The sequence below is a fragment of the Homo sapiens genome, chromosome 11 (assembly GCF_000001405.40).
Source record: "Homo sapiens chromosome 11, GRCh38.p14 Primary Assembly".
NCBI classification, from domain to species: Eukaryota; Metazoa; Chordata; class Mammalia; order Primates; family Hominidae; genus Homo; species Homo sapiens.
This window is the reverse complement of record NC_000011.10, coordinates 129,985,865-130,000,560: the sequence shown is the minus strand read 5'-3', so window position 1 is coordinate 130,000,560 and position 14,696 is coordinate 129,985,865. Positions and strand designations below refer to the sequence as shown.

At 42.1% G+C, this 14,696-nt stretch overlaps 1 protein-coding gene across 10 annotated transcripts in view, besides 1 other annotated feature; it reads left to right on the top strand.

The window, feature by feature from the left end:
• The window catches only part of PRDM10 (PR/SET domain 10), a 103,125-nt gene that overhangs the window by 2,275 nt on the left and 86,154 nt on the right, over positions 1-14,696 (top strand). The gene's annotated exons all lie outside the window — the stretch shown is intronic.
• Positions 5,950-6,109: a silencer, noted in NCBI's record as "silent region_4069". NCBI's record gives its function as "represses an Ori minimal core promoter by ATAC-STARR-seq in GM12878 lymphoblastoid cells {active_cell/tissue: GM12878}" and the evidence as "EXISTENCE:reporter gene assay evidence [ECO:0000049][PMID:35858748]".

The window sequence follows — 14,696 nt, the reverse complement described above, 5'->3', positions numbered from 1 at the left end:
TATGTCAATGTAATTGAGTATATATTTTAGAAAAAGCAAGGTTCCTGTCTTCAAGGGCTCTGAATGGTTTTTACTTAGAGGTTATGGAGGTATAAAGGATAGCACAACTCAATATAATCCCAAATTGATTGGCACTACCTAAGTTTCTGCTTGCCTGTTTTGTTTTTCCTTCTAGTTTTAAGAATAATGCGTGATCATTGGAGAAAACATAAAATTTAAGCCGGGCGCTGTGGCTCATGCCTGTAATCCCAGCACTTTGGGAGGCGAGGCGGGCAGATCACCTGAGGTCAGGAGTTCGAGACTAGCCTGGCCAACATGGTGAAAGCCTGTCTCTACTAAAAATACAAAAATTGGACGGACATGATGGCAGGCGCCTGTAATCCCAACTACTCGGGAGGCTGAGGCAGGAGAATCACTTGAACCCGGGAGGCAGAGTTTACAGTGAGCTGAGATCGGGCCATTGCACTCCAGCCTGGGCAACAAGAGCGAAACTCCGTCTCAAAAAAAAAAAAAAAAAATTTAGAAGCGAGTGAAAAAAAACAAAACCCATAATTACCCAGAGATAATCTTTGCTGATACTTTGGTGTATTTCAAGTTGGTTTTGTGTGTGTATAAAATATTTGTACAAACGACATAATCTTGGTTTAATATCTAGTTTTTAAAACAAGACGTAAATAGGTGTCTAAAGACTTTGCTGATGATTGGGCACTTTCATTACTTCCATTATTTGAAGGGGGCATCATGAAGTCCGCCGAACTAAAAGAATTATAATATTTTGATTTCTTGTAACTTTTTAAAAGCGTAATCTAATTGATAGGGATAGGCTTCTGGATAACAAACATAATTCATCAAAGGGCTGAGAAGTACTGAGCTATAATTTTGGTTTCCTCAATTTTTCATTTTAAGCACTGGTAAACACCTCGTAACCGCGTAATTATATCTGGTAAAAAGAAACTGTTAAACATCCTGTTGTTGCAGTGTTTGAGTTGTTCAGTTTGTTTTAAACTTGAACACTGATGTACTTTGACCTATTGCCACTAAAATACATAGTCTTCTCCCATCACATCCCACCCCAGATAGTGTAGCCACACCCAGTCCAGCAATTTGTTTTTCACAAGCAGAATTTATTGTCTACCATTTTAACTTATTATAGGTACTTTAATAGATTAATGAAGGAGAATTCGATCTGGTGTCTAGAAAGAGCCAAAAAGAAATGTTTGCTACAACCAAATCTTTGGAGAATGATCCCACTCAAATTCTCCTGGGGGATAGGTAGAGGCAGGAGGGTGAGAGGGGAACTTTTCGTGACTTATTTTGGCCCTCATTGGTGACACTTATCTCTTCGCTGTTCTAGCATTAAACTGTTCACGTGGTTTAGTTGAATCACTGCTTAGGAATATCTGGCCTCTTTTCTTTTTTATTCTTAATGTTATAACACAGCCGGGTGTGGTGGCTCACACCTGTAATCCCAGTACTCTGGGAGGCCAAGGCAGGCAGATTGCTTGAGTCCAGGAGTTCGAGAACAGTCTGGCCAACATAGCAAAACTCTGCCTCTACTAAAAACAAAAAAGTTAGCCAGGTGTGGTGGCCCACAGCTGTAGTCTCAGCTACTCAGGAGGATGAGGTGGGAGAATCACCTGAGCCCCGGAAGTAGCGGCTGCAGTGAGCCGAGATCACGCCACTGCACTCCAGCCTGGGCAACCAGAGTGAGACCCTGTCTCCAAAAAAAAAAAAAAAAAAAGTTATTACACCATTTCACCATTTCAAGACTTGTGTGGAGCACTCTGGCCATTTCTGTCCACCTTCCAAAATTTTTCTGTGCCTTTCCATTGACCATCCTTGTGTAGATTTTAAATTTGTGTTGTAGAAAGCACCTGAAGGTAGATTCTTCTTCTGTAACTTGAAATAGTTTAGGGAATGGGGAGCGGGTGAGGAAGTGGAGTGGAAAGAGGGAAGGTATGGGTAACCCTAAGTATAGTTACAGCAAGACTAGTTAAAATGTGGTGAAAACAATTATAAAATCAATAGTGCACAATAGTTTAGAACCTTATATGGATTGCTAAAAGGTTACTGTCTGCTAACATAGGCTGTAGTTTGCTATTCATTTTTTAGTTAAACTCTCGTTTATTGCAAACAGGAGAATATTGGAGTCAAATGCTCCTCCTCCTCCCCCCCTTTTTTTTTAACCCATGTCCTTCACTTTCACTGATGGTAAAGTTGTACTCCACAGCTTCTTTCCTGCTGTGATTTCTAGAAATCAGATCCCTTAGACCTGTGCTGTCCTGTCTAGTAGCCACCTGTGGTTTTGAGCACTTGAAATATGGCCAGTGCTGTGAAGTGTGAAATACATACACTCAGATTTTGAGATTTAGTAGAAAAAAATAATATCTTTCAATTTATAAAATATTGATTAAATGTTGAAATGACAATATGTTGAATAGACTGGGTAAAATGCAATATACTATTATAATTAATTTCACCTGTTTCTACTTTTAAACTATGTATACTAGAACATTTTAAATTATGTATGTGGCTTGCATATTTCTTTGAAAAGTGCAGCCTTAGTCAGCTAGGGGTAGGGTGTTCCCAGGTGGCATTAAGATGTAATATTTTTTGGTTTCTATAATTTGAATGAAAAGATACTGCTAATATGTAGATGTCTGTTTTTTTAGTGCTTATGATAGCTCTCACAAAAGCATGATTATTATTTTGAAGAATATCTTAATCTCAAAACCACTTCCAGATAATTGAGTTAACTGTTACTGAATTAATGTATTCAATGGATCATTTGAACTTAAAAGAATAAAATGACATTGGTAAGCACATAATCCATTAAAAAAAGTTGAGCTAAGCATAATCAGCTAAATTTTCCCAAACTTGGTCTGTTATTCAATACATTGATTTTTAGAATTTACCATTTTTCAAATGTTTAAGAGAAACCTGAAATTGAGAACATTGAACTTACATTTTTTTCTCCTGTGATTTAGAAAAAGACCACAATACTTTGATTCTAAAGGTGGAAGGAACCGTTTGGACCAGCTCGTGAAAGAACTGTCTTTTTTTTTTCCTTTTCTGTTTTTTGAGAAAGGCCCTCATTCTGTCACCTACGCAGGAATGCGGGGGCACCATCATAGCCCACTGCAGCCTTGACCTCCCAGGCTCAAGTGATCCTCCCACCTCGGCCTCCCAAGTAGCTGGCAGTACAGGTGTGTACCACCATGCCTGGCTAATTTTTGTATTTTTTGTAGAGACAGAGTCTTGCCACGTTGCCCAGGCTGGTCTGGAACTCCTGTGGCTCAAGCGATCCACCCATCTCTGCCTCCCAAAGTGCTGGGATTACAGGTGTGAGCCACTGCACCCAGTCGGGAGAACTGTCCTTTTAAACACAATTGGAGAAACATAACCTACACGTAAAATCCATATTTTTTTACTTCCACGTTTGCACCGTTGACAGTTTTGCCCTAAGCTGCCTTTATTGATGCCTTTCCTTTTACTGCCCTGTGTGGAGATTTTATATGGTGTAGTATTCACAGCGTTGCCTCAGGGGCAAAGAGGTTCACTGCTGTGCTCAGCTTGCTGGCTGTGATCTTGGGCAAGTTACTTCTGTAAGCCTTGGTTTTCTTATCAACTCTTTCAACTAGTTTCTTAATTATTACTAGGGATAATAACAGTAATCAACCTCATAGATTCCAAGTGAGGATGCCTGTTAATCACTCACCACAATTGTATAAATGGCTCAATAACAAAGCACACAGTTCTAAATGGTTCAAAACTTGTTTATCTCTTTTGGAACCGCCACTTCGGTCAAACTGGTCTTCCCACTGTTCCTTAAATATTCGGGATTTTCTCTCTCTGCTGTCACACCTTCGTTTCCCAAGTGGAATGTTTCTTCCTCTCTGCTCTCCTTCCCCTCCTCTCCTAGTTCTGCCCGCCAGAATCCTATCCATCCTTCTTGAGCAGTGGCTGGAAAACTTTTTAAAGGACCAGGTAGTAAATGTTGTTGGCTTTGTGGGCCATATGGTCTCTGTCAAAACGGTTCCCCTCTGCTGTGGAGTGTGAGAGCGTGGCTGTGTTCCAACAAACTATTTTGGACCTTGGAATTTCAATTAATATAACTTTCCTGTGTCAGGAAATAGTCTTCTTTTGAGTCTTTTCAAATATTTTAAAATGTAACAACCATTCTTAGCTCACAGGCTGCACAAAAACAGGTGTCTGCCGCCTGCGGGCTGTGGCTCGCCATCCCCTGTACCAGAGCAAGCTGAACCCACACCGCCCTTGTTGAAGTGTCAAGACCATCTCATTTGAAAGTAATCCTTTTTGTCTCTGAAGGTCCTGCAGGATTTTGTACTGCTTTATAACAGTAACATTCAGTGCTTACGTTGTATTGTACTCCAATTATTTGTGCTTATTTCTTGCTTCCCAAACAGATTCTAAATTTCTGGAAGCTACAGGTGATTTTTAGCCCCCTCACGTAGAATGCAGTATAAATGAGTGCCTTTTACTTACTGGATTCTAAAATGTTTTGAGGGATAAGTGAGTGAATTAAAATACTTGAAGTTGTTTGTAAAGTTTTCCTCCCTTTTTTTTTCTTTTTCTTTTCTTTTCTTTTGTTTTTGAGACAGAGTCCCGCTCTGTTGCCCAGGCTGGAGTGCAGTGGCATGATCTCAGCTCACGGCAACCTCCGTCTTCTGGGTTCAAGTGATTCTCCTGCCTCAGCCCCCCAAGTAGCTGGGATTACAGGAGCCCGCCATCACACCCGGCTAATTTTTGTATTTTTAGTAGAGACGGGGTTTCATCATGTTGGCCAGGCTGATCTTGAACTCCTGACCTCAGGTGATCGGCCTGCCTCGGCCTCCCAAAGTGCTGGAGTTACAGGCGTGCGCTACGGCCCCTGCCCCTCTCCCCCGCCTTTTTTTTTCAAGATTCTTATTTTTGTGTGCAAATTCTACCATTTTCTTAGAATTGCTTGAAGATTTTGAGGCCAATTTATTGGGGGTTATTTTCAGTCTTTCCACAAACCATGATTACAGGCAGTCTTAATAGAATGTCCTTCTAATAGGGACTAGCTATCATTCCTTTAACTAATTATTGCTCTTTGTTTGACTTTTTAACTGTCCTCTCTGAGACACTTGTTTACGTTTAGTCTTCAACACAGAATATTGACAGAACCGTGTCCAATTTTGCAAAGGAGAGAAAGTAGGTAGAGGTCAGGGAATTATGCAAGTATGGGAGAGGGGTCAGAGCGCATGGGAGAAAAGGGTCTGTATCCTCAGCCCCAGGCAGGGGATGTATATTAATAAGGTTTCAGTCTCTTCCATCATGTATTCATCTTCTCCTTCATTCTTTTTCTCTTGAAGTTGATGAATTGAAAATTATTCCGGACTGTGTAAGTACTTTATCACTGGATAAATATAAGGACCCATGAATGGTAATATTTGGACACCACTTTATGTGACATGCAAGTTCTCTCAAGTACTTTAGTACTGTGGAAGTGTGAGATGTTACATTACTACAAAACAGTAATTCTGGAATTAAAATGAAATTATGTCATAGTAATTGGACTTTGATGAACTTTGTTTCATTTATACATTTTAAGAAAGTTTATGTTGGCCAGGCGCAGTGGCTCACGCCTGTAATCCCAGCACTTTGGGAGGCCGAGGCAGGCGGATCACGAGGTCAGGAGATCAAGACAATCCTGGCTAACGCGGTGAAGCCCTGTCTCTACTAAAAATACAAAAAAAATTAGCCGGGCATGGTGGTGGGCACCTGTGGTCCCAGCTACTCGGGAGGATGAGGCAGGAGAATGGCATGAACCCAGGAGGCGGAGATTGCAGTGAGCTGAGATTGTGCCACTGTACTCCAGCCTGGGCGTCAGAGCGAGGCTCTGTCTCAAAAAAAAGAGAAAGAAAAAAAGAAATTTTATGTTAACTTTTTAATATTTTTTAATTTTTTTAGAGACAGTGTCTCACTGTGTTGCCAAGGCTGGTCTCTAACTCCTGGGTTCAAGCCATCCTCCTGTCTCAGCCAACCGAGTAGCTGGGGTTACAGGTGCAAACCACCACCACCAGTTTCGTTTCTTTTTTTTTTTTTTTTTTGAGGCAGAGTTGCGCTGTGTCACCTAGGCTGGAGTGCAGTGGTGCGATCTCGGCTCACTGCAACCTCTGCCTTCTGGGTTCAAGCAATTCTCCCTGCCCCAGCCTCCTGAGTAGCTGGGATTACAGGCACCCACCACCACGCCTGGCTAATTTTTGTACTTTTTTTTTAGTAGAGATGGGGTTTTGCCATGTTGGCCAGGCTGGTCTCGAACTCCTGACCACCCGCCTCGGCCTCCCAAAGTGCTGGGATTACAGGTGTGAGCCACTGCACCCAGCCCCAGTTTATTTTCATACTTATATATACTTATCCCAAGCTCTAGGTATCTCACCAAAAACTTATACATCATTTACAAAATATATTTTTTTCAGATTCATGGTTTTAAATGGTTATAAACTATAACAGATATAGAAAATTCTAAAACTTTATTGAGTGGCTTTAAATAAAACCTAAATAAATGAAGAGCACAGTGGCTCAAGGAGTGGAAGATTCAATATTGTAAATGTGTCAATTTTCTGGAAACTGATTTATAGATCTAATGTAATCCCACATTTAAAAAAATTAGACAAGCTGATTCTAAAACATTTGCCAAGGCCCAAGAAAAGGCAAAACACTTTGAAAAAGAAAAGTTAGGAAAACCTCTGCTAGAGATCAAGAAGAGTTATAATAATTAAGATAGTGTTGGGCCAGGCGCGGTGGCTCACGCCTGTAATCCCAGCACTTTGGGAGGCCGAGGCGGGTGGATCACGAGGTCAGGAGATCAAGACCATCCTGGCTAACATGGTGAAACCCCGTCTCTACTAAAAATACAAAAAGTTAGCCAGGTGTGGTGGCGGGTGCCTGTAGTTCCAGCTACTCGGGAGGCTGAGGCAGGAGAATGGTGTGAACCCAGGAGGCAGAGCTTGCAGTGATCCGAGATCGCACCACTGCACTCCAGCCTGGGCGACACAACGAGATTCCATCTCAAAAAAAAAGATAGTGTAATATTGGCACTGGGTAGGCTAATAATGATGGACCAATAGAACACCATATGGAGTCCAGAAACAGTATTATGCATAGCCAGACACTTGATTTATGACCTGGAGGCATGGCAGAAAGGCAGGCAAAACAATAACACTTTTAGAATTAATATAGGAAGATACTCATGACCTTAGTATAGAGAAACATTTCTTAAACAAGATGCTACAGGCACTAATAGAATAATGGGCAAAAGTCTTGAACAGCCACTTCAGAAAAGGAGAAATCCAAATGTCTAATAAACATGAAAAGGTGTTCAACCATGTTAATGAAGGAAATGCACATTTCAGCCACAGTGCCAGAACACTGTATACCTAAATTAAAGTTGGATGTTGAACAGTAGGGACTTTCATAGATGGCTGGTACAGATATAAATTCATATGACTACCTTGGAAAACAGTATTATCAAGAAAGTCCAAAACATGCATACTTTAATGACCAGCAGTTCCAATATTAGAGAAATGCATGTGCCTGAGAGAACTAGAAAAAGTATTTGGAGTAATTTATTTTCATAATACTGATTCAATTACTATTTCAGGACTGCTGTGTTGTGTTCTGAACACACAGGTAGCTTTGTTTCTAGAACAATGGTGAATAAATGTTATTTATATTTTCCTTCTGTGCTGAATGTTTATATAGTCCATCCAATGTCTTCTTCAGTTCCTAAAAGAATGCTGGAAACAGAATAGGCATTTAATAAGTATTCTTGTGTTTTAAAAAATTATTTGAATTTTTACAATGGGAGCCCTTCATCACAGCTTTGTAGTTACCTCAACTCTGGCTGTTGAGTAATTTGCTCAGTTAAATCTGTTTGTGGGTGTAGTGAATTACAACCTCCTCTGGTTCCCTCGAGATCAAGTCTAACCTGGTGATTGCGTCATCTGGTGGGAGAGCACGGCTACAACAGCAGGTGGAAACCATGCTCGGGTCCTGGCCACTTTGCCTAGGATGAAAGCTGTTGTGGCAAACAGGGGAAAGAGCTTCAAGCTTTGTAGTAAAAGGAATCTGGGCTTAAATTCCTCTTATCAGCACTGTGACCTTGGAGAATTAATCATTCTTGGTTGTGGTGAGGGTTAATTGAGATCAGGTATTTAAAGGACATCTGACAGTGCCTGGCACGGGATAGGTGCTCCATAAATGCCTGTAGCTATAATTATTACTGTTCCACTAGCTGTTTACTTAAGTAACATTGAATTTCCACAGAATGCATTTCGAATCAGGTGGACTATGATTATACTGATTTTTAAAATAAAGAGCTGCATCTGTTAAAGGATTCTATTTTTGTGGTCTTTAATTCCTTCAGGGAATTTGCAAATGAAGCTAACATGTTGTAGGTACACCTGAGTGAAATGGTCTGGTTAAGCGTTTACAAAGAATAGTTATGGCTAAGATTTCTAAACAGGAATGCTTCTATTTTGTGTCTCCTGCGGAAGAAAATGCTAATCACATAGTTTTTATTTTTGTATTTTTATTTTTTCTGTCACCAGGCTGGAGTGCAGTGGCGTGATCTTGGCTCGCCGCAACCTCTGCCTCCTGGGTTCAAGCGATTCTCTGATACTCCTGTCTCAGCTCCCCGAGTAGCTGGGATTACAGGCACCCGCCACCAGGCCGGTTACTTTTTTTTTTTTTTTTTGAGATGGAGTCTCGCTCTGTCACTAGGCTGGAGTGCAGTGGCGCGATATCGGATCACTGCAACCTCCTCCTCCCAGGTTCAAGCTATTCTCCTGCCTCAGCCTCCCGAGTAGCTGGGATTGCAGGCGCGTGCCACTACGCCCAGCTAATTTTTGTATTTTTAGCAGAGATGGGGTTTCACCATGTTGGCCAGGATGGTCTCGAACTCCTGACCTCAGGTGATCCACCCCTCTCGGCCTCCCAAAGTGCTAGGACTACAGGTGCCCGCCACCATGTCCAGCTAATTTTTGTATTTTTAGTAGAGACAGGGTTTCACCATGTTGGCCAGGCTGGTCTGGAACTCCTGACCTCAGGTGATCTGCCCACCTGGGCCTCCCAAAGTGCGGGGATTACAGGTGTGAGCCACTGCGCCCAGCTGCTAATCACATAGTTTTAAAATTTTGTCAATTTGAAGTTGAACTTTACATATTTTCTGGTGAAATACATCAGTTAAGAGAGAACCCAAGCCTGCAGTTAAGAGTGATCTATTCCCAAAACAATTGTTTAATAATGAAAATGTATTAAAATATCTTTTAATTGAGAATAAGTCTTTTCTGGATGAGACACCTTCATGATCTAAAACAGCCTATGGTCCTCACAATTTAAATAATTATTAACATTTGCATTATACTCTATACTATTGAGCCACATTGTAACAGACATTATCCCACTTTATGTTAGCAGTGAGCCTGTGATTTGCTTGCCTTCACATTCTTTTTCCACTTCAAGAAATGCCTCAGCTAATGGAAGGTACCTTTGAATCCTAGACCAGTGAACATAGTCCTACGGTGGTGGTTTTATTAAGATGGAGGAGGTTGAAATTTGGTAGCTTGTAGGTCTTCATTATATGCCAGTGAGACGGAGTTTTTATGAAGGCAATAAAATGTCAGTATGTTGTCTATCTGAGCTCACTGTCTTTAATAAAATACTTATTTTTCTACCATCTGTGTTTCATATTTAAAGGTATGAGAAACTGAAAATGAAAAAAAAGTGAGGAAAAAGTGAGGACCCGGGCATAGTGGCTCATGCCTATAAATCCCAGCACTTTGGGGGGCCGAAGTGGGAGGATCACTTTGAGGCCGGGAGTTAGAGACCAGCCTAGGCAACATAGCTAGACCTCCGTCTCTACAAAATAATGATAATAAAAACAGGTGAGGACCACATTAACGTGTTTATAGGGAGTGTGAATTGGATATAAAGGGAATTACTTCAAACCAGTATGGTATCAATTTGCTTTTTTTTTTTTTTTTTTTTTTTGGAGACAAAGTCTCACTTTGTCACCCAGGCTGGAGTGCAGTGGCACCATCTCTGCTCACTGCGACTTCTACCTCCCAGGTTCAAGTGATTCTTAGGCCTCACCCTCCTGAATAGCTGGGATTACAGGCATGCGCCACCACGCCCGGCTTATTTTTGGAATTTTTTTTTGTTTTTTTTGTGGTGGAGTCTCGCTCTGTCACCCAGGCTGGAGTGCAGTGGCTCGATCTCAGCTCACTGCAAGCTCCGCCTCCTGGGTTCATGCTGTTCTCCTGCCTCAGCCTCCCGAGTAGCTGGGACTACAGGCACCCGCCACCCATGCCTGGCTAATTTTTTGGATTTTTAGTAGAGACGGAGTTTCACCATGTTAGCCAGGATGGTCTTGATCTCCTGACCTTGTGATCCACCTGCCTCGGCCTCCCAAAGTACTGGGATTACAGGTGTGAGCCACCACGCCCCATGCCTGGCCAGTTTTTGGAATTTTTAATAGAGATGGGGTTTCGCCATATTGCTGAGGCTGGTCTCGAACTCCTGATGTCAGGTGATCCACCTGCCTCAGCCTTTCAAGGTGCTGGGATTACAGGCATGAGCCACCGTGCCCGGCCTGAGTTTTCTTCTTAATCTTGTGTCTGAGGCTTGGTTCAGTCTGTTTGAACTAAAGACTGTATGTTTCAGGAGTCGTAGAGTGAACGAGTAGTTACACTGTTTTATATTACATATTGTAGTGTTAAATTATGAAAATTATGCTCTAGAATGATTTTCCTCTAAGCAATTTTAATAAGTTAAAAAGTTTTCCCTAGTTAAAACATTTTAAAGCACATGGGTTTATTGAGGAAACAGCTTACTACTTAAGATTGTGCCTCTATACATTAACCAGGAGTTTATCCTAACAACTTGGGTTTGTGATTTGTTGAGTCATAGGTACCACCCAGAACCATCTGGAAGGAAAGCTTTTCAGGCCACATAAGACCCACCTGAAAGTCTCCTACTTAATTACTGCACTGGCTAATTCAATAAAAGAGCTTGAGATATTGGGGCTAAATAGTGTTGGGTGCATGGGTGAAACAGGGTTTTACATTGTATCTGTATCCCCCACCAGCTGTCTTGTGACCGAATACTGCTGTTCAGAAGGGAGCTGGAGGATGTGTGCTTGAAGCTTTCTAAATTCATTATTCATAGCTGAGAAACATGCATGCTCAATGACTTTTTTTTTTCCCTCCCAGAGGCAGGGTCTTGCTGTTGGCCAGGGTAGAGTGCAGTGGCATGATCACCGCTCACTGCAACCTCGAACTCCTGGGCTTAAAGCCATCATCCCCCCTCAGCCTCCCAAAGTGCTGGGATTACAGAGTGAGCCACTGTGCTGGCCTGGAATTTGTCTTTCACCTAGCTTTCTATGTTACTCTGGTGCAACCAGTTCATGAAGTGTGGGAACTGTAGACCAATTGAATAAAGTTTAAATTCTTCTACTTTCCCTGTGGTCTTTTATAGCCCCATCCTTACTACTGTTTGAGGCTTGTCTCTCTCATAGTTACTGGTCCCTAAGCATGCCCTCAGTTTCTCTTGCCTCTGGATATTTCTAGAAAGTTTGCATTGACTTGGCCGGGCGCAGTGGCTCACGCCTGTAATCCCAGCACTTTGGGAGGCCAAGGCGGGCGGATCACGAGGTCAGGAGATCGAGACCATCCTGGCTAACACGGTGAAACCCCGTCTCTGTTAAAAATACGAAAAATTAGCTGGGTGTGGTGGCGGACGCCTGTAGTTCCAGCTACTCGGGAGGCTGAGGCAGGAGAATGGCGTGAACCTGGGAGGCAGAGCTTGCAGTGAGCCGAGATTGCACCACTGCACTCCAGCCCAGGCAACAGAGCGAGATTCCGTCTCAAAAAAAAAAGTTTGCATTGACTTAACATCTCCTCTTTTTTTTTTTTCTAAGAACAGCTTTACTGAAATAAAATTTACATACCATGCAGTTCACTTATTTAAGATGTATATGGTTCAGCCAAGTGCGGTGATTTATGGCTGTAATCCCAGCACTTTGGGAGGCCGAGGCAGGTGAATCACTTGAGCCCAGGAGTTCGAGACCAGCCTGGGCAACATGGCGAAACCCCGTCTCTACCCACAATATAAAAATTGCCAGTCTCATAACCCGGTCTCAAATAAATAGATAAAAATTTAAAAATAAAATGTACAATTCAATGGCTTTAATACATTCAAAGAGTTGTGCAGCTGTCACTGTCACCACAATCAATTTTAGAACATTTTTATAACCTCCAAAAGAATTCCTGAACCATTTAGCTGTCACCATTAATTTTTCTATCTCCTCCTAATCCCTAGGCAACCACTGTTTATTTTTTGTGTCTATTAATTTGCTTATTCTGCAAATTAATATTTCATATAATATTTTACATAAATGGAATTGTTCAATGTGTATTTCTTTGTGACTAGCTTCTTTCACTTAGCATAATGTTTTCAGGGTTCATCCATGTTGTATGTAGCATGTACCAGTTCTTCATTCCTTTTTTGTTTTTTTGACGGAGTTTCACTCTTTCGCCCAGGCCAGACTGCAGTGGCGCTATCTCGGCTCACTGCAAGCTCCGCCTCCTGGGTTCAGGCCATTCTCCTGCCTCAGTCTCCCGAGTAGCTGGAACTACAGGCACCTGCCACTGCGCCCAGTTAATTTTTTGTGTTTTTTAGTAGAGACGAGGTTTCACCGTGTTAGCCAGGATGGTCTTGATCTCCTGACCTCGTGATCTGCCTGCCTCGGCCTCCCAAAGGGCTGGGATTACAGGCGTGAGCCACCACACCCGGCGTCTTCATTCCTTTTTATGGTCAAATAATATTCCATTATATGGATATACCATATTTTCTTCACTTATCAGTTGATGAGTATTTGGATCGTTTCCATTTTTTAGCTATTATGAATAATGCCACTGTGAGCATTCATGTACAAGTCTTTTAGGGACATATGCTTTTATTTCTCTTGGGTTTATTACATCTTGATGAGGAATTGCTCAGTCATTTGGTGTGTCTATGTTTAGTCTTCTGTGGAATTGCCGGGCTGTTTTCCATATTGGCAGCAGTGTTTTACATTCTCACCAGTAGTGTATGAGGGTTCCAGTTTCTCCTCATCCTTACCCACAGTGGTTATTATCTGTTGCCATATCAGAATTTTGAATGAAATTGAAAAGATGAAAAGGCACTACAAAAATAAGCATAATAGAAACCAGAGTATCATTAATAAAGGCAGTTTTGTGTGGTTTGTTGACATGGCAGGAAAGCTGTTGCCTTTATTGTTTGAAGCTCTCCAAACAATAAAGGATATAGATCAATATTTTGCTGAAATTGAGGCCAATAAAAGTATTATTCTGAAGCTACAATATGCTGTAATTTTTCTTAGCTGGACAAACCTTCCCTATTAGTGGAGAGTTTATAATCTGTGTGATTTGAATTTCAGGTATATTTTGACTGCACAATAGCAGACAAGAACTTGAGGTGCTTATTTTCATTTGGCTATTCTTATTCCTTTTAACCCTGGGAATGAACATGAATTGATAGGGAGAATTAATAAGTATATATTAATAAATACAAAAACCACAACAATGAGCACTGTTGAGTGTTCCTATGGGCCAGGTGTGGGTTTTCATTTGCACAGTGTACTTCATTTATTTCATAGTTCTACCTTAGGGAATTGGAACTATTGGTCCTGCTGTAACCATGTTATAGATGAAGTCTTGATGCCTTGAAAAGTAACTTCCCTCACCTGGGTCATGGAGCTGGAGCTGGCAGTTGAGGAGTCTCAATCCAGGCCCCCGACCCTAGAGATCTGTTGCCCTCCACGCAAAGTCATGCAGCAGACTTGGTGCAGTGGCTCACGCACTTTGGGAGACCTAGGCAGGTGGATCGCTTGAGCCCAGGAGTTCGAGACCAGCCTGGCCAACATGGCAAAATCCCGTTTCTACTAAAAATACAAAAAAATTAGCCGGCCATGGTGCTGCACGCCTGTAGTCCCAGCTACTCGTGTTTCTGAGGTTCAATTGCTTGAACCTGGGAGGCAGAGTTTGAAAGTGAGCCAAGACTGTGTCACTGCACTCCAGCCTGGGCGACAGAGTGAGACCCTGTCTCGAAAAAAAACCCAAAGCAAACGAAATTCACACAACAGCGTTAGAGGTGGGGAGGAGCAAGTCTGGTCAGTAGCAGGCTGCTAGAAGGTCATGTTAAGGCCCCAGCTATGACATAAGGACTTGCCACAGCCTGCTACTCAAGGGAGCACTATGTGTGATTTCCAACCATTCTTGTTGCCATCCTAAGCCACAAGGACTTGCCACAGCCTGCTACACAAGGGAGCACTATGTGTGATTTCCAACCATTCTTGTTGCCATCCTAAGCCTCTGCCCCCTCCATTAACTAATACAGGTTGGAGGCACAGGGCGAGGAGGAGATCTACATTCTGGTTGCAGAACCACACACCCCAGACTCTGCCACACCACCATGAGCCTGCTGTTAATCCACCACGAGCCCAACACCTCTGTGTACACTAAGAACGGAAGCACTGGGACTAATCTTGCAGCATTGGTATGGGAGGGCCACAGCTCATGAATATGAAAATATTCAGAGACTACATATGAACCTCAAGATCTATACCTTGGGTTATAAGAATTGGACTT